Raw genomic sequence first — 20889 nt, forward strand, 5'->3', positions numbered from 1 at the left:
ATGGTGCTTTGTTGACATCAAACTGTCATAATGGTTTTTATTTGAGAGGAGGGGTGGCTGCCATGACAGCCCATTTCTCACGAGTGACAGCATTTTGGTGATTGAAAATACCGACTCTGGAATCAGAATGCCTGTTTTAATATCCTGCTCCACGAGGTTTTGGTTCTGAGACCTTGAGAATTCAGTTTGTGACTCAGTTTTCTCACCTACAAAATGACCTTCCCTTTCTCCATTGAGAATGTGCCATTTCTAGGCTGGAATCAGTTCTGTCTGTGTGACAGGAGGGAAGATCTTGCATGCACTGCCCTTCCTGCAAAGTGCAAGGGCAGCTCCTCTGCCTTTCTAAAGACCATTCATTGCTGCTGCAGCAGATCCTTTGTCTCTCCAATGTGCTTCTGAGTCACTCAGGTTTTACTGACTCCCTTGGGGAAAGCAGGTGGTCTATATTTAGAATAGCGTTAGCTGCTTTCCCAAGAATTTGAGCTAATACTTAATGAGTATTAATCCAAACCTTTTTGTAGCATTGGCTATATGTACATTTCAGATAATCTCTTGCTATCTATAAGATCTTCCTCTTAGGGTTGGTTTGAAAGAAGAGGATAAAAATAGGAGAATGTGGATATCTATATATATCTATATATATCTGAAAGCGAGTTTCTTTAGAGGGAAATGTTGATTGCTGCAAAATACACATTATAACATTCAAAGATAATTTATTTGTAAATGAATCATGTTAGCATATTTAACCTTCAATTTTGAAGGTTAAATGAGTGAAGTATGTCATCTCAGGTGTTCATATAGCTCACTATCTAAAGAAGTTCAAGTTTCCCATTCTTATATTCCCAGGTATCTGTGAGCTGATCCTAATCTGCATTTCTGGCCCCATCTTTCCTGCTCCTGTATATCCCAGATGTTATAGGTTGAGTTGTGTCCCTCCTAAAATTCATCTGTTGAAGTCCTAACCCCCAGTACCTCACAATGTAATTATTAGAAGATAGCATCTTTAAAGAGGTAATTAAGTTAAAATGAGACCACGGGGGATTGGGGGGGGGGGGTTCCTAATGCAATATGACTGGTACTCTTTTTTTTTTAATCCATCCCCTCAAGTATTTATTTATTTATTTATTTATTTATTTATTTATTTATTTATTTTACTTTAAGTTCTGGGATACATGTGCTGAACATGCAGGTTTGTTACATAGGTGTACATGTGCCATGGTAGTTTGCTGCAACTATCAATCCATCATCTACGTTTTAAGCCCTGCATGCATCAGGTATTTGTTCTAATGCTCTCCCTCCCCTTTTACCCCACCCCCCCGCAACAGGCCCCAGTGTGTGATGCTCTCCTACATGTGTCCATGTGTTCTCATTGTTCAACTCCCACTTTTGAGCAAGAACATGCGGTGTTTGGTTTTCTGTTCCTGTGTTTGTTTGCTGAGGATGATGGCTTCAAGCTTCATCCATGTCCCTGCAAAGGACCTGAACTCATTCTTTTTTATGGCTGCATAGTATTCCATGGTGTATATGTGCCATCTTTTCTTTATCTAATGACTGGTGTTCTTATAAGAAGGAAACACGAGGCAGGCAAATGCATAGAGGAAAGAGCATGTGAGGACACAGTGGGAAGGTGCCATCTGCCAGCCAGGGAGCAAGACCTCAGAAGGAATGGGAGCACCTTGATCTTGGACTTCTAGCCTCCAAAACTGTGAGTAAACAAGTTGTTTAAGCCACACAGTCTGGTATTTTGTTATGGCGGCCCTAGTAAACTAATACAGCAGATAGACTACTCACTAGGTCTAAAAATGTGCCATGCTTTCCTTTCTCTGTGATTTTACTTTTACCTAACTACTCTAAAATTCCTTTTCTATCCCTACAACTGGACAATTTTACCCCCTCATACTTTAGAATTTACTGCAGATATCATTATTTTCTTGTACTCTTTTTTGAGTTTCTCCCACCGACTCTTGCCCTCCACACTGGAAAAGATAGGCTTCCAAAATTCCATTGATGCATGCCTATTAATTATCCTCCTCTTGCAAATGTAGACTAGGGTTTTCAGAACTTGGGCTGGAGATGGAAAAGGTGAAGGAACCATGGATCATTGGAGGTAATTGTGGTTTGTTTTTAGAATGAAAGAGGCTGACATCTGACTGAGAAGATGGTCCTAGGGGAAAGAGAAATGAAGAATCAGAAGAAAATTGGTATTTGCTGAAGCCAGTTGCTTAAGGAGGAAGAGGAGGGATGAAAGAGCAGACAGAGAGGGAGGTTGACATTATAATGAGAAACAGCTCCTGTTCTGAGACTGGAGGAGAGGATGTGAGGAAGACAATGGTCTTGCTAAATTTTCTTTGTTTTTATTTCTAAAATCATTAAGAGCATGAGCTCCGGAGTGTGAGACAAACTCACCCGTCCAAACCCAAAGGATGAACTCGGAGACCTGGAGAACAGCGTGAGACTTTTAATGAGGACCTTGCAAGATCGGGTGTCTGATAGGCAGGCACACCCAGCACAGTTTCCACAAGCAATTTAACCCCTAGAGCACAGGTCCCTCCCCTGGTTCCTCCCTCGTAGGCTGAGTACTATGGGGGTCACAGTCTTCCCAGATGTCACCTATTGTTGCACAGGGGCTCCAGGTGTTTTTTTTTTTTAGGGTTGTCTTGCTGCATTTTGTTGCAGCCCACAATGCATTGCAATCCTAGTTAGCTCAAGGGCTCTTCAAGTATTTGACTTATGACTTAAGTAGCTGGGCAGGCTGATAACAGACAAAACGAGCTATTTTGCAGGCTAGTAAACTTTCATCTTAGACTAAACTTCTTCGGTTTGGGTAAAGGCAACTAAGTTGCCGCGGGGGAAGGGGGAGGCTGACAAGCAGGCATCGGCTATCCAAGCAGGGGCCTAGTATACTCTGTTTCTTCTGTAGTTTGCTGACCTAAGCCGGTTCAAGGCACTTTGTCTTGGAAATGGACCACTGTATACATTATTTCATTCAGGTGCCAGACTCCTGTATCCCTCTACCCTTTATGCTGGATCTGTGACTTGGATGGCTTTTTTTTTTTTTTTTTTTTTTTTTTTTTGAGACGGAGGCTCGCTCTTTTGCCCAGGCGGGACTGCAGTGGCACTATCTCGGCTCACTGCAAGCTCCACCTCCCGGGTTCACGCCATTCTCCTGCCTCAGCCTCCCGAGTAGCTGGGACTACAGGCGCCCGCCACCGCGCCCGGCTAATTTTTTGTATTTTTAGTGGAGACGGGGTTTCACCGTGTTAGCCAAGATGGTCTCAATCTCCTGACCTCGTGATCCGCCCGCCTCGGCCTCCCAAAGTGCTGGGATTACAGGCGTGAGCCACCGCGCCCGGCCTGGATGGCTTTTTATTTGATTCAGTGTTAGTGTTTCCATGTCTACAATGGGTACAAATCCTCACTATCATCAAAGGATTAAATGGATAACACATGTAAATTACATGTGTAGTACAGAACCCAACAAAAGCAATTTTTTTTTTTAAATAATTCTTGTCAATATCCCCCAGCTGAAGACCACCAGGACCATGATTATAGTTGAACAAATTTGGTTGATGCCGCCTTGGAAAGAAAACGCACTCCCTGGGAAAGCATGGAGTGTCTCAGAGAATTTTAGAGAGAATTTATTATAGGATATGAGCTTGTGTTAGGTTAGGTTTAGGGACTTTGCTCTATATTGGACGCTATCAGGAAGTGAGGATAATTCTGCATCATGGGGTACTTCATAAATTATCCATAGGGACAGCAGACTAGAGCAAGCCTAACATGACTGGCAAAGGAGCAGCTGTCACTCATATCAGCCAAGAGATGGGGTTGTTTCGTCATTTTTATGGATTGGACAATGCTCACGTTCTGTCTGTTCAGACATGATTCTAGCGTGCTCTTGTTTTTGGTCTTGATCTCCATCATGATCACAGAGTAGCCTTGTTTATGTTGATGTTCTGTGAAGTTGTGTTCAACTGGAAAACACCAAGGCCTGGCTCTGAGTATCAGGCCAGTAGAAACACCAAGACCCGAGTAATTAATGCCTGATGACTTTGCTTTCTGGTGATGTCTGCTGAGAATGAGGTGTTTTTTGCGGAGAGAATAGTCACTGAAGAGAATCATATAGGGCTGATGGGCAGCATCAGCGGTGCAGCCAAAGTTGGAGTTGATGGAGTTACTGGAGCGATCGGCATTCTGATTGTGTGATTCTCTCCCATAGGGCTAGGCTGTGCAGCACTGGTGTGGAGAAGGCACATCCTAACACTGGCCCTGGGCTGGGGGTTTACAAAGAGATCAGGACAAAGGACAGGAGTTCAGAGTTGAAAGTGCCAGGGAGCACAGATCTGTTGGTTCCCTGTGAGGAATGGGCTATTCCATGAATAAAGACAGAATATGAAAAGACTAACCACCAAGAAAAGAGGAGGCTAGATATCTTTTAGAGAATGTTCTGAGCTGAAGCCCTGCTGGGTGATGGGAAGATCGTTGGCTGGAAAGAGCCTAGGCCATTTGGAAATAAGGAGGTTGGGGAAAAATGGAAAATCTTGCAAGAAGGTCCACGAAAGTAGACTTTGAATTCTCCTTGGGACTCTGTGGATTTGTCAAACATCCTGCTTTTTCCAAGACAGGATGCAGGTGAAGTGACAAGTGCTTCTATCTCTGTCCACTGGGATCATCACCTTTTCCTGTTTGGATAGATAACATTTTCTCATATTCCATTTTAAAAATCTTTTCCACCTCAAGTGCCTTTTGGCACTGCTTTAGCAGTTTGCTGTGTGGGCTGTACAGCAGCTTTGCTGCTGCCCCAATGTTTCATAGAGATGTTTGTGATGGAGCACTATGTTTTTAACTTATCTTCCCAGGGCTGTGGCCCAAGTTCACGGAGGAGAGATGAGGTCGGGAAAAATGTGGCTAGTACACATCTACAGTGTTCACAACAGTCTGCCTCCTCTGTCAGGGACTCATTGTCTTTGGAATAAGCCCCATAGGACCTGGAGGCTGCTGCTGGACCTCAGTAATGTCCACAAAGACCTGCAACCTCAGGAGTGTTATTGTCCCTTTTCAATCAGGTCCTACCACCAGGAGACGAAGCTTCTCTTCTTACTCGGAGCTTCTCCAAAATGTGGCATGTTAGAGTGCTCTAAATAGTGAATTAATTGATTGATTGATGGAGTAAATACATGAATGAATGAATACTAACATGGCTCATGACTTTAACATTGATTTTCAAACTCAGCTTTATGGAGTCTCAGCTATTTTTCAAAGCTCAGTGAGTGAGGAGCTGAGTACACGGAATCCTGTCTTCCACACTGCACTTTAGCCAGAGGAGTGCCATTAAAAACACTTTTTTTGTCTTTGATTTTAGCCTCCAAGTAAAAAGCATTTGAAGAAAAATTTTTTGAATCTTGAGATAGAGAGATAGAGAGTTAGATAGATAGATAGCAAGAAACCACTGGCTGCAAGAATGAAGTTCTGCATTTAATTGTGCAAAATCTGGTCATGATCTATTCGTCCACACTTGTTTTCCCTCACTCTATCACATGAATTCTTTGTTTAGTTTATCTTGTATGATGTGTCCAGATATGCCCTTTCTAATCTCTACACTTTTGTTCCCCCACGCTCTATCCTTTAACCCCAGGTCATATTATAAATCTTCTCTGATCTCCATGGCCAGATGTGCTCACTCCTTACGCTGAATTCCAATAGCATTTATTGTGTCTCAAGGCCCATCCTTTATGTTGCATGTTTTACCTCTTCAACCAGATTGTTCCTCCTTCCCTTCCCCTTCCTTCCTTCCTTCTTTCCTTCCTTCGTTCCTTCCTTCCTTCCTTCCTTCCTTCCTTCCTTCCTTCCTTCCTTCCTTCCGGCTTTGCTCTTTGCTTTAGATGGAATACTCTCAGGAAGTGAGAATAATTTTATATGATTGGGTGTCTTCATAAATTATCCATTGAGAAAGCAAACTAGAGCAAGGTTAAAGTTGTAATTGGTAAAGGAGCAGCTGTCACTCATACCAGCCAGGAGAGGGGGCTGTTTAGTCACTTTCGTGGCTTGGACAACGCTCATGTTGTGTCTGTTCAGATGGCCGTATGGTGATTTTTTTGTTTTGTTTTGTCTTTTGTCTTGGCCCACATCATGATCACAGAGTAGCCTTGTTTGTGTTGATGTTCACTGGGTGCCTGTTATGGGCCAGGCGTGTTGCTAGGTACTGGGATTCATAAAAGGGAAGACAGACATCTCTCCCTCACGGTTTACAATTTAGTGAGGGTTGGGGAGTATATCAATCGAGGTTCAAACAATGAACGGAGTAAGTAGAAAACATAAAGACATTTACTGTAAGGAATTGTCTTCCAGGATTCTGAGGCTGACTAGGCAAGTCTGAAATTCTTAGGGAAGGCCATCAGGATAAGTGTCAGCTGAAACTTTTGCCACAGGCAGAATATCTCATTCTCCTGAGAGGCTTTTATTCTTCTCTTTAGATCTTTCAGCTGAGTGAATCAGGGCCATTCAGACTGTGTACGATAATTGCCCTTACCTAAAGTCAGCTGATTATGGATTTTAATCACCTCTACAAAATACCTTCATAAGACCCAGTACAGTGGCTCATGCCTATAATCACAACATTTTGGGAGGCCAAGGTGGGAGAAATCTGCTGTTAATCAGATAGGTTTTCCTTTATAGGTTACTTGATGCTTTGCCTCGTAGCTCTTAAGATTCTTTCCTTTGTCTTGACTTTAGATAACCTGATGACAATGTGCCTAGGCGATGATCTTTTTGTGATGAATTTCCCAGGTGTTCTTTGAGCAAGGCCGGGGAAAGTTTTTTCGATTATTCCCCCAAATATGTTTTCCAAACTTTTAAATTTCCTCAGGAATGCTGATCTTTCTCAGGAATGCCAATTATTCTCATATTTGGTCATTTAACATAATCCCAAACTTCTTGGGGGTTTGCTCATTTTCAAAATTCTTTTTTCTTGTCTTTGTTGGATTGGGTTATTCCAAAAACCTTGTCTTTGAGCTCTGAAGTTCTTTCTTCTGCTTGTTCAATTCTATTCCTGAGACTCTCAAGTATGTTTTGCATTTCTCTAAGTGTGTCCTTTATTTCCTGAAGTTGTGATTGTTATTTATGCTACCTGTTTCACTGAAGATTTCTCCCCTCATATCTTGTATCATTTATTTGATTTCCTTAAGTTGGACTTCACCTTTCTCTGGTGCCTGCTTGAATAGCTTAATAATTGACCTTCTGAATTCTTTTTCTGGCAATTCAGATTTTTCTTCTTGGTTTGGATCCATTGCTGGTGAGCTAATGCGACTTTTTGGGGTGTTAAAGAACCTTCTCTTGTCATATTACCAGAATTGTTTTCCTGGTTCCTTCTCATGCGGGTAGGCTATGTCAGAGGGGAGATCTGGAGCTCAAGGCTGCTGTTCAGACTCTTGTGCCACGGGGTACTCCCTTGATGTAATATTCCCCCTCTTTCCCTAGGGATGTGGCTTTCTGAGAGCCAAACTGTAGTGATTGTTATTTCTCTTCTGAATCTAGCCAGCAAGCAGGGCTGCCAGGCTCTGGGCTGGTACTGGGGGTGTCTGCACAGAGTCCTGTGAGGTGAACTGTGTTCAGTTCTCTCAGCTGTGGATACCAGCACGGTATTTGAGATGTCTCCTGGATCCTGCAGGAGGAATCCACTTCCTTCAAAGGGTCTGTGGATTCTCTTGGCTTTTCTGGTATACTCCTGCAGTAGTTTTTGGAGCAATAGTCCACAATGCTAGTCTCCACATTCTGCTCTGTCTATCCAGAGTGGGAGCTGCACTTTAGTACTGCCTCCTATCTGCCATTTTTTTTTCAGTCACCTGTCAGTTGAGAAATGTGTTTCTATTTTCCTTTGGATAACTGGAAGCTAACTAATGTTAAGTTTAATTTTTAATTTAATGTTTAATATTAAGACTACTTAAAAGACTTATCCCAGGAGCTTAATGCAATTATTAAAGTCATTGAATCTGAAACTAGGGAACTTTAAAAATACCAGTGCCTGGGCTCCACTGTGGACCAATTAAATCAGAATCTCTGACAGTTAGGGCCCTGACCTTGGTAGTTTGAAAATGTTCCCAGGTGATTCTGATATAGCCAAGGTTGAGAATAAATGCTCTAAATATATTTGAATTTTTTGGTTTTCCTGTTTTATACATGTTTTGATATTGAAATGATCATTCTATCATCTTTGGAAATAAATGCCTTCATAAATTGGAAATAACTAATTATTTCGGTAAAAATAAATACATGTTATTAAAGCCACTGAGACACTTGAAATCACCTTCCTAGACTGTAAGCACATGGAGGGCAGGTACCACGTGTTACTTAGACATTCATTAGGATAGGCAAGGTTGTGCTATAGAAACAAACAAACACGAAATACACAAATTGCTCCCCTCTCAATTCTTAGATGATTCACAAAACAGAAGTTTATTTCTCACTTCTGTAAAGTAAGCCTGCTGTGCTCTAGGTGACTCTTCAGGCCACCAGTTCTCTGTGGATGACTCATGTGCTGCTCCACATCAACACATGGTCTCAGGATCACTGAGACAAGGGCAGAGAGGTTGTAGAGTTCAGAACTGACAACTGACACATGACACTTCTGTTCAGTTTTTTTGGTCACCTAGCCATACATAACTTCAAAAAAAGGGGGAAAGGGCTGTGCACAGTGGCTCAAGCCTGTAATCCCAAAACTTTGGGATATCAAGGTGGGAGGATCACTTGAGTCCAGGAGTTCAAGACCAGTCTGGGCAACATAGTGAGACCTTGTCTCTACAAAAAAAAAAAAAAAAAAAAAAAGAAAGAAAGAAAGAAAAAAAAGAAAAAAAATTAGCGAGGCAGGTGGCATGTGCCTGTAGTCTCAGCTATTCAGGAGACTGAGAGGTGAGGATTACATGGGCCCAGGAGTTTGAGCCTGCAGTGAGCTATGATTGTGCCACTGCACTTCAATCTGGGCAACAGAGTGAGACCTTGTCTCTATAAAAAAGGTGGGGAGGAATGTAATCCTTTGAGTACATGGAAGTTGAAGAAAAATAGATACTGATTAACATTAGTAATATCTAGCCTGTTTGGTTTTATATTTCTGCACTTAACCTAATAACTCTCATAGTGTGAGAGCTTACTAGATATTCAGGAATCCACATTAAGTTACCCTCTCTTATCCTTACAGGATATGTTCCAGTCGCCAGTGGATGCCTGAAACCTATATATATAATATTGAGCCCTGTATATACTATGTTTTTCCTGTACATGCATACTATGATGAAGTTTAATTTATAAATTAGGCACAGTAAGAGACTAACAATGATAATTAATAATAAAATAGAACAGTTAGAAAAGCTATCACAATATACTGTAATAAAAATTATGTGAATGTGATCTGTCTTTTCCCTCAGCTACTAAGTGACGGAGGGCAGGTAGTGTCTACAGTCACATGCTGGTCAAAGGGATGATTCGCTTCCCAAATGGGACAGAGTGGGATGGCATAAGATTTCATCATGCTACTCAGAATGGAAAGCAATTAAAAATATATAAATTGTTTATTTCTGGAACTTTTTACTGATTATTTTTGGGTCCTTGGTTACTCAAGGACCACAGTTGACCTTGAGTAACAAAACTACAGAAAGTGAAATTGTGGATAAGGGGAAACTACTGTGCCACATTTTCTTCACTGTTAGAGATTATGCATCATTGTGGGTGTTCATGCATGTGTGTGCATGTGTATTTTTCTCTCCAGGCAGGTGCATCTCGGCATATTGGCTCTGCGAGTCTATAGCTCTGCAGATTTGCTATCTCTGGGAGTGGAAGAGCAGAGCTGGGATTCCCATACCTATAGCTGTGAGATCCAAGGTGACCTCAACCACAATGATAGTGCCACCACAGACACTCCAACTACTCATTGATCCTCACTCACGTTTTCAGATTTTTCTCATTTATACTCAATAAAAAAGCAAATAGAACTTCCAGAGTGTTTAAATGACTGGGGACAATAGCCTTGCCAAGTAGACACATAAAACTGACCCACCTTGGGAAGAACAGTGAACACATTATTCAAAAATATCACAATAAGTTTCAGGGAGGAGACAAATAACTCTATTTTCTATAGACAAAAAAAAAATCATTTTGCAACAAACCCAGATAAGTTCTGTTGTGAGTCAGTAACGTAGTTCCTGGATTGCTCCCCTGGTCAGATACATACCACTGGCTAGTGCTGTCCCTGCATCCCCAGATCGGCATAGCTCTGGAGAATGGGGACTTGACTAGAAAGGGAAAGACAGGCTGTCCTGAGGTCAAGGCTTTTCAAGAACCTTACCAGTGACCTGCCAAGCTTCTGCACTTTCCAACCCCAGCTGTTCAGGTATCACCACCTCAAAAGGAAGGTTCACTTGACAGAGACTTCCACAGGACAAACTCACCAGAAACCCTCTTTCCTGAGACCAAGTAGAGTGAGAGCATTTTCATAGTAGAGAGAAAATGAAGACAGACTCATATTTATTCAGACACTAAATTTTCATTGGAAATACCCTGTTTGTATTTAGGTTTTATAAAATTCCCAGTTGAAAAACTAGATTGTGATCCAAGTTGTTCCAACCATGTTGTAAAAATTGTCCAATAACTAAACTGAGTAGCAAATAATCATTTTTCTTTAATAGTCACACCTACATTGACAGGCCTGGTATATCTTTTTTAGAAGAATTGTTTTTTTTTTGTTTTGTTTTTCTTTTTGTTTTTTTGAGACAGAGTCTTGCTCTGTCACCCAGGTTGGAGTACAGTGGTGCGATCTTGGCTCACTGCAATCTCTGCCTCCCAGGTTCAAGCTAATCTCCTGCCTCAACCTCTAAGTAGCTGCGATTACAGGCACCCACCACCATGCTCAGCTAATTTTCATATTTTTAGTAGAGATGGGGTTTCTCCATGTTGGCCAGGCTGATCTTGAACTCCTGACCTCAAGTGATTTGCCCACCTTGGCCTCCCAAAGTGCTGGGATTACAGGCGTGAGCCACTGCGCCCAGCCAGAATTGATTTGAACTTAAAGCAAAAGTATCTGTTTCAAAACTACATTTATTCGAGTTAAATAAATTCAGTAATTCTTATGTCAACTCAATATGATTAACATCAAATTAATAAAGTGAAAATGTTAGTTCTTTAGTCACACCAGCCACATTTTGAGTACTCAATAACCATATGTCACCAGTGGCCACCATTTTGGACAGCATGGATATAGAAGATATAATACCACTTCTGCATAATGCAGTCAGATATATTTATAGCTGTAACTCTAGCCACATCAAGGCAATGGCCAAGGTCAGGGCAGTGAACAGCATTTGCTTTTCCTCTACCTAGCTTGTAAGTCTTATACTTTATGGGCATATTTGTAATCACCTGATGTGTTCTTGCCTGCTGCACAGATAAGCCCAATTCACTGAGACAGTGTGATCGCAGTAAAGAAAGAGTTTAGGCCAAGTGCTGTGGCTCATGCCTGTAATCCCAGCACTTTGGGAGGCCAAGGCAGGTGGATCATGAGGTCAGATCGAGAGCAGCCTGGCCAATATGGTGAAACCTCGTATCTACTAAAAATACAAAAATTAGCCAGGTGTGGTGGCACGTGCCTGTAGTCCCAGCTACTCGGGAGGCTGAGTCAGAAGAATCACTTGAACCTGGGAGTCAGAGGTTGCAGTGAGCTGAGATCATGCCACTGAACTCCATCCTGGGCAAGAAAGTGAGACTCTGTCTCAAAAAAAAGTTTAATTAACTTAAGCCTGGTCAAGCAGAAAGGCTGGATTCATTACTCAAATCAGTCTCCCTGAGAACTCAGAGGCTAGGTTTTTATGTTTTGGTGGGTAAGGGGCTAGGGAATGGGTGCTGCTGATTGGTTGGTGATTAAATTTTAGGGGTATGGGAAATGGTCCTTGTGTACTGAATCTGCCTCTGAGTAGAGGTGGGCACAGCACCAGTTGAGTCACGAGTCACAGGTCTGGGTGGGGTCAATCAGTTGTCAGCATGCACAAGTCTGAACAACATCTCAAAAGACCAACTTTAAGTTCTGCAATAGTGATGTTATCTATAGGAGCAATTGAGGAAGTCACAAATCTTGTGACCTATGGCCATGACTCCTGAGCGATAAGGGATTATAGAAACTATGCTTGGCTGGGCATGGTGGCTCATGCCTGTAATCCCAGCACTTTGGGTGGCTGAGGCAGCAGGATCAATCGAGCCCAAGAGTTCAAGACCAGCTGGGTAACATAATGAGACCCTATCTGTTAAAAAAAAAAAAAAAGAAAGAAAAAAAAAGAAAAAGGAAGAAAAGAAAAGAAAAAGAAATGAAAAGAAAAAAAAGAGAGGAAAGGAAACTACACTGACATTTTAGCAAAATTCAGACCCCTCCAATAATACTAATGCTATAGCTTTTCATTAGTAAAGAGGGGTTAGGTTTAGGGAGGGACTATTATCATCCTTGCTTCAAAATTAAATTATAAACTAAATTCTTCCCATGGTTAGCTTGGCCTACACCCTACACACAGGAATGAGTGAGGACAGCCAGCTTGCAAGGGTAGAAGTAAGAGTCAGCCATGCTAACTTTCTCTCATTATAGTCTGCAAAGGTGGGTCATACTGACTCTAATTGATTGACTGCCAGACTAGACTCCTTGCTAGTCCAGGGCCTTGGACGTATCACCCAAGGCCTTTCTGTGAAAGACACTCAAATATTTGTTCAATGATTTCTAATTGTATCCATTACTTATTTGTAGCTTCAAAAACAACGTTTGAATCTTAACTTGTTTCACCTTGAGTTAATTTTGTTTCTATACCTCTTCAAAGAAAAGGAAGATTGAAGGGGTCTTTAACGCCTCCATTAACTCCTGCAACGTGAATTTGATATACTCTCTTTTGCATGAATTCAGCTTTGTGATTTCTGAAATGGTATCACCTGAAAGCCACTTAAGGCCAGACCAATGAAATGTTACAGGCAATATTTGAACCTAGGACTGACTGTTTTTTTTTGGCTCTGCTCATGTCTCTTCCAATTCTAAAATTTTATGATTTAATGATTTTGGAAATGTGTCAAAGAGAGACTTAGTGTAATTCAAAATAAATTTCAAATCTGAGGTGTCTTGTTTTCCTTTTAGATATTTAGCCTGACAAATATAAAGTTTTGAATCTTAAATATAATTTTCATGTTTTGCTCTATCAAAAACACAATGGCAAAATAACAGATGGAAATGCATTTCTCAAACGAAACTGCCCTAAATTACTTCAGCAATCACTTTTGATAAATCTTTAGCCACCTGTGTATATTATTAAAACATCAACCAGCAGGAAGCGTATAATTTTATTTGGGTGGAAGTCTTTAGTTTTAAGGTAACAAAGACAGGTGAATAACAGCGTTTTCAGATACAGCCTATTCTGAACAATGAGCTTTGACAGAACCCTGCTAGAAATTTATTCTTTGCGCTTGAGTCTTCTGATGAAAGTTTCCAGCTTGAAGCAATGGATTCAGGTACTATATTATTTATGCTTCTGCCGTAATTCTAAATGGACCCTTTTAAATCAAGAGCTAGCACATCTTCATAGGAAACCTCAAACTTGTACACACCAACCCCCCATACCATCTAATTATAAAATTGAACATTATCAAAGAGAAGAAAAGAAGATAAAAAGAGTTTCTTTAGTACTTAACAGATGAACCATTTGACTAGTCTCTGTGTATTACAGTTTTTTGTTTACAAGAATGCTTTTCAGTGGAGCAGGGACCTTGTTTATATTTGGTGTTCCCAGGATGCTTGGGTACAGTGATACTTAATAAGTGCTTTTCTAACAAAGTGGCATTCAAGTTAAAGCTCAGTCGGGCAGCCAAATTCCCCTTCCAAGCATTAAGCTATACTTACAGTGTACTTAAAGGATATTTTATGTGGAATTATAAAAGTTAACACTTCTGGCCAGGTGCAGTGGCTCATGCCTGTAATCCCAGCACTTTGGGAGGCTGAGGCAGGCGAATCATTTGAGGTCAGGAGTTTGAGACCAGCCTGGCCAACGTGGTGAAACCCCGTCTCTACTAAAAATTCAAAAAATAAGTTAGCTGGGCGTGGTGACAGGTGCCTGTAATCCCAGCTACTGGGAGGCTGAGGCAGGAGAATCGCTTGAACTCAGGAGGCGGAGGTTGCAGTGAGCCGAGATCGCGCCACTGCACTCCAGCCTGGGCAACTGAGACTCTGTCTCAAAAAAAGAAAAAAAAAATTTTAGCACTTCTATTCTTCTTTTGTCTGGGTCTAACTATCTTTAGACTTTGTCTCTTTATTCATACTGAGATCTGGATAAGAGGCACATACAAATCACACTTTCTCTTCTATTGCCAGAAAAGGATCTTCAAATGTTAGGCTTCAACTCTAACACGTTTTTCTCCTTCACTGAAACAATCGATGAGAGTTGAAACGACTACTGAATAAGTATTCTTATAAGGGCCTGTTGTTTTCCATGAAAGAAAATATATTTGCAGACCTGTTACCACCAAGGGATTGCGGTCAAGGGAAGGCTAAAGCTTTCTTCCTCCACCAACGGATTGCTTAAAGCCCCTTTAGACAAACATAAAAGACTCAAAGTCAGTATGCTTCACTTCAAGCACAGCTTTTTCCTGCTAAGCTGCTCCTACTATATGGAAATTCTGGGGGTGTCAATGTTTGTATGCCCAACTGAGTATCTGTTATAAAACACACTTTTCCCAAGCCCCCACATTAATAATTTCTGACACATAAAAAATTAAGAGTTCAGATTTAATTAATTGTGGACATTTAGGAAGGCTAATTTGAAAGTGTATAATATGGTTAAGCTTTGTGTCTCCACCCAAATCTCATCTTGACTTGTAATCCTGATAACTCCCACAGTCCCCATGTGTCAAGGGAGAGACCAGGTGGAGGTAATTGAATCATGGGGGTAGTTTCCCCCAAGCTGTTCTCATGCTAGTGAGTGAGTTCTCACGAGATCTGATGTTTTTATAAGAGGCTCTGCCCCCCCCCCCCCCGCTTTGCTTGGCATCTCTCCTTCCTGACACCTTGTGAAGAAGGTGCCTTGCTTCTTCTTTGCCTTCTGTCATGATTGTAAGTTTCCTGAGGCCTCCCAAGCCATGCTTAACTGTAAGTCCATTAAGCCTTTTTCCTTTATAAATTATCCAGTCTCAGGCAGTTCTTTATATCAGCGTAAAAACAGACTAACACAGTAAATTGGTACTGAGGTAGTGGGGTGCTGCTGTAAGGATACCCAAAAATGTGGAAGCAACTTTGGAACTGGGTAACAGGCAGAGGTTGGAACAGTTTGGAGGGCTAGAAGAAGACAGGAAGATGTGGGAAAGTTTGAAACTTCCTGGAGACATGCTGAATGGCTTTGACCAAAATGCTGATAATGATATGGACAATGAAATCTAGGCTGAGGTGGTCTCAGATGGAGATGAGGGACTTGTTGGGAACTGAAGTAAAGGTCACTCTTGCAATGCTTCAGCAAAGAGACTGGTGGCATATTGCCCCTGCCCTAGAGATCTGTGGAACTTTGAACTTGAGAGAGATGATTTAAGGTATCTGGTGGAAGAAATTTCTAAGCAGCAAAGCATTCAAGATGGGACTTGAATGCTGTTAAAAGCATTCAGCTTTATTCACAAAGACATGGTTTGGAATTGAAACTCCTGTTTAAAAGGGAAGCAGAGCATAAAAGTTCAGAAAATTTGCAGCCTGACAATGAAGTATAAAAGAAAAACCCATTTTCTGAGGAGAAATTCAAGCCTGCTGTAGAAATTTGCATAATTAAGGAGGAGCCAAATGTTAATTGCCAAGGCAAAGGGAAAATGTCTCTAGGGCACGTCAGAGATCTTTGCAGTAGCCCCTCCCATCACAGGACTGGAGGGCTAGAAGGAAAAAATTGTTTTATGGGTGGGGCCCAGGGCCCCCCTACTCTGTGAAGCCTAGTGATTTGTCACCCTGTATCCCAGCTACTTTAGTCATGGCTAAAAGGGTCCAAGGCACAGCTCAGGCCATGGCTTCAGAGGTGTGCTGCAGGGGTGGAGCCCTCATGAAGAACCTCTGCTAGGGCAGTGTGGAAGGGAAATGTGGGGTGTGGGCCCACACACAGAATCCCTACTGGGACACTGCCTAGTGGAGCTGTGAGAAGAGGGCCACCATCCTTCAGACCCCAGATGGTAGATCCACTGACAGCTTGCACTGTGCACCTGGAAAAGCCAGAAACACTCAATGCTAGCCTGTGAAAGCAGTGAAAAAGGGGGCTATACACTGCAAAGCCACAGGGGTGGAGCTGCCCAAGGCCATAGGAGCCCACCTCTTGCATCAGTGTGACCTCGAAGTGAGATGTGGAGTCAAAGGAGATCATTTCAGAGCTTTAACATTTGACTACCCCACTGGATTTCGGACTTGCCTGTAGCCCCTTTGTTTTGGTCAATTTGTCCTATTTGGAACAGCTGTATTTAACCAATGCCTGTAGCCCCATTGTATCTAGGAGGTAACTAACTTGCTTTTGATTTTACAGGCTCATAGGTGGAAGAGACTTGCCTCATCTCAGATGAGACTTTGCACTTGGACTTTTGGGTTAATGCTGGAATGAATTAAGACTTTAAGGCCAGGTGCAGTGGGTCATGCCTGTAATCCCAGCACTTTGGGAGGCCAAGACAGGCAGATTACTTGAGTCAGGAATCAAGACAAGCCTGACCAACATGGTGAAACCCCATCCATACAAAAATACAGAAAATTAGCTGGGTGTGGTGGTGCATGCTTGTAATCCCAGCTGCTTGGGAGGCTGAGGCAGGAGAATCACCTGCAGCTAGGAGGCAGATGTTGCAGTGAGCCAAGATCATGCCACTGCACTCTAGCCTGGGCAACAGAGCAAAACTCCATCTCAAAAAAAAAAAAAAAAACCAAAAAAAACCCAAAAAACAAAAAAAAACTTAGGAGGACTGTTGGGAAGGCATGATTGGTTTTGAAATGTGAAAGGGACATGAGATTTGGGAGGGTCCAGGGGCAGGTGGAATGATATGGTTAGGCTTTCTTTCCCCACCCAAATCTCAGGGGGGTTGTTTCCCCTATGCTGTTCTCTGATAGTGAGTGAGTTCTTATGAGATCTGATGGTTTTATAATAGGCTCTTCCCTCCTTTGCTCAGCACCCCTTCCTGCTGCCTTGTGAAGAAGGTGCCTTGCTTTCTTTTTGCCTTCTGCCATAATCGTAAGTTTCCTGAGACCTATCCAGCCATGCTGAACTGTGAGTCCATTAAACCTCTTGCCTTTATAAATTACCCAGTCTTGGGTGGTTCTTTATTGCAGTATGAAAATGGACTTTTCATTACCTAAAGTGGATTCCAATTTGAAACTTGCCATGTTGATGCTGAATACTCATTTCCAGTGATGCTAGGTAAGCACCAGAATGTAGTTACTGCTGGGATAAATAAGTGCACTGTAGTTCTAGGAAGATATGCTTTGTGGAGCATATTTCCACAAGTAATTATTAGTAAATATGTCCAAACTGGTCAGGATGAAAATATAGGAGAGCATTACATTTGCATTTTAGCATGTATGTCTTTTCTAAATAATAAAAATTTGTCATTTATGCTTACCACATTTATATTAAAAAAGGTTTAGCAGGAGGGAGGTGAGGGTTGAAAAATTACCTGTTGGGTACAATGTTCACTATTGGGGTGACAGGTACACTAAAAGTCCAGGCTCCATCACTACACAATATATGCGTGTAAGAAACCTGCACTTGTACCCCCTACATCTGCTTTTAAAAAAATAATCTGAGAATAATCTACTTTGGGAATAGGAGAGAATTATCCTTTTCCTTTTTAATTAAATTAGAACAAAATTTATTAGTTAATTATCTCAGGTTTGTTTGCTTCAATTTTGGAATGGTGTGACCAAATAAATCAATGCTCCTGGACTGTTGCATTGGTTTTCTAAAAATGGAGTGAAGAGAAGTAAGAGGACTTACATTTCTATTGCTTTAATTTTTTATGCAATAGTGATGTTGATTTTTCAGAGCATGTCTCCTCAAAATAGTCCAGATTTTCTGTCATTACAATCCTAATTGGAGAAAACTTAGAGTTTAAACATCTTTTTAAGTTTTTGATTCTGAGTGATATGGTTTGGCTGTGTCCCCACCAAAATCTCATCTTGAATTCCCAAGTGTTGTGGAAGGGACCTGGTGGGAGGTAACTGAATCATGGGGGCAAGTCTTTCCTGTGCTGTTCTCATGATCCTGAATAAGTCTCATGAGATCTGATGGTTTCAAAAAGAGAAGTTCTCCTGCACAAGTTTTCTCTCTTTGCCTGCTGCCATCCGTGTAAGATATGACTTGCTCCTCCTTGCCTTCTGCCATGATTGAGGCTTACCCAGCCACGTGAAACTATAAGTCCAATTAAACCTCTTTTTTTTTTTGTTGTAAATTGCCCAGTCTTGGGTATGTCTTTATCAGCAGCATGAAAACAGGCTAATACACTGAGGAAAGGGAGAAGTAAAGATATTTACATTTGCCTTTAAATGTCTAATATGTGGCAAGTGGTTTGTAAAGGTTATCACTTTTAAACTTCGCAGACTGTCTGGAATTTAAGAACCTAGCTAACCAACCCTAAATGACCCAACTAGTGATGACAGAGCACAGATTTGAACCCTGAAATGTCTGCCTTAAAATCTTATACACTTTCCAATATGCTGTACTACCTCCACTAGTTAAGAATCACCCCTCATGTTGAAATTTAATATAGATGGCCTTGAGATGCCAAAAATGAGATATCTATAACTATGTCTATATCTATAGTTTTTTAGTGTTTAATACATTTTTTCTTAATCTTACAACTTCTTGAGGATAGAGTCAATATTTCATGCTCTTTATGTCTGCTGCAAACATTGATTAGACTTGTCAGGAGCACAGTGCCTTGATGGTATCTGATAGACTAATTGCTTACAGTTCATTGTTAATCCCCAGGCTTCTTCATTTCCTTAGTTCAAATAAGGTCAATGTTAATAATAATTGCTCAAATTCCACTGCCTTCTTATCTTCACTTGTATTCTGAAGGATCTCAATTTAAAATCTCTCCTAATGATTTCTAGGGGCCCCTGGAGATGTTTCATGTCAATGCAGAGTTTAGTTAAGATGTTTAGTTCTAGACTGCCTTGATTATGTCCTTGGACTGAATCTGAGAAATACCACTCACCCTGTGATATGGTTTGGCTCTGTGTCCCCACCCAAATCTCATCTTGAATTATACTCCCATAATTCCCATGTGTTGTGGGAGGGGCCAAATGGGAGGTAATTGAGTCATGGGGACTGGTCTTTCCCATGCTATTCTTGTAATAGCAAATAAGTCTCATGAGATCTGATGGTTTTAATAAGGGGAGTTTCCTTGCACAAGATCTCTCTTCTCTTATCTGCTGCCATGTGAGACGTGCCTTTCACTTTCTGCCATGATTGTGAGATCTCTCCAGCCACATGCAACTCTTAAGTCCATTAAAACCTCTTTTTCTTCCCAGTCTCAGGTATGTCTTTTTCAGCAGTGTGAAAACTGACTAATACACTCTGCAAATCATTCAGTCACCTGGTATTTTAAATTTTTTTTTCTTTTTGATCCACCACTAAGAGTCATGGCAGCCAGTATTTGCATGTGTGTTTTTTCTTTTTCTTTATTTTATTTTATTTTATTTTTGAGACAAAGTCTCACGCTGTCACCCAGGCTGGAGTGCAGTGGCACGATCTCAGCTCACTGAAACCTCTGGCTCATGGGTTAAAGCAATTCTCCTGTCTCAGTTTCTGGAGTAGCTGGGATTACAGGCAAGCATCATCACATCCAGCTAATTTTTTGTATTTTTAGTAGAGATGGGGTTTCACCATGTTTGCCAGGCTGGTCTTGAACTCCTGACCTCAAGTGATCCACCCACCTCGGCCTCCCAAAGTGCTGGGATTACAGGCATGAGACACCATGCCCAGCTGCAGCCAGTATTTTTTAATGCCTCCATAGTATGTGATACAGGTACCAGTTACTGGGAATGGGTAAAGGGTAGGTTTTCCAGAGTTTCCAAAGCTGCAAGTCCTGATAAGTGGCCTTTTCCTTATACTCCTGTGTCTCATGAAACATGAACGTAGCTTCTTCAGCTTTTATCTACAACCTGCCCTCTTCAGGGCTTAAATACCTGTTTGTGAGAGGTAGAGTAAGGAGCAAGTATTTTACTATCCTCTATAAATTCCTCACTCCTTGCAAATCATCTCCACTAAAACTTCACCATTGCATCAGGTACTCTCAGACATGCTTCAGTCTCTAGGTACCTTGGTATCTAGGTTTTAGATATCTAGTATATTAGATCTAGATATCCAGGTATGTAGATATCTAATGTATTGCAAAGGAAAGGTTTCAACATGTTTGACTTGGGGCACCATATTGTTTTATACAATTAAGTTGGCATATGTTTTAATTCCCCCAACTCTCATTTAATATTCCTATCCAGCTTTACAATGTATCTGCCTTCTTCCTATTCAAAGTTTAGCATTGCCTTCATCTAGGAGCTTGTTAAAAATACAGAAATTTGGTCACTACTCCAGGCCTACTGAATTGGAATCTGAATTACTGTTGTCAATTCCACTAGTTAACATCAAAGTAATTCGTATTCATGTTAAAGTTAAGAGGTTATGATCTTTATTAGTCTACCATGCCCTGAACTTATTAGGTAACGATGAGCTAGGTAGTTTGAACAAAACCTCCAATGAAACAACTAAAATGAACTGGATAAAATATAAAATTATCTTAAGGAGGTCTCAGACTGAAAGATTTCTCATGTGCCTGGCAGAAGCAAACAAAAATTGCCACAAGAGAATGGTTTCATCATCACAGGAC

Source organism: Homo sapiens, chromosome 2 (assembly GCF_000001405.40).
Source record: "Homo sapiens chromosome 2, GRCh38.p14 Primary Assembly".
In the NCBI taxonomy this organism is placed as follows: domain Eukaryota; kingdom Metazoa; phylum Chordata; class Mammalia; order Primates; family Hominidae; genus Homo; species Homo sapiens.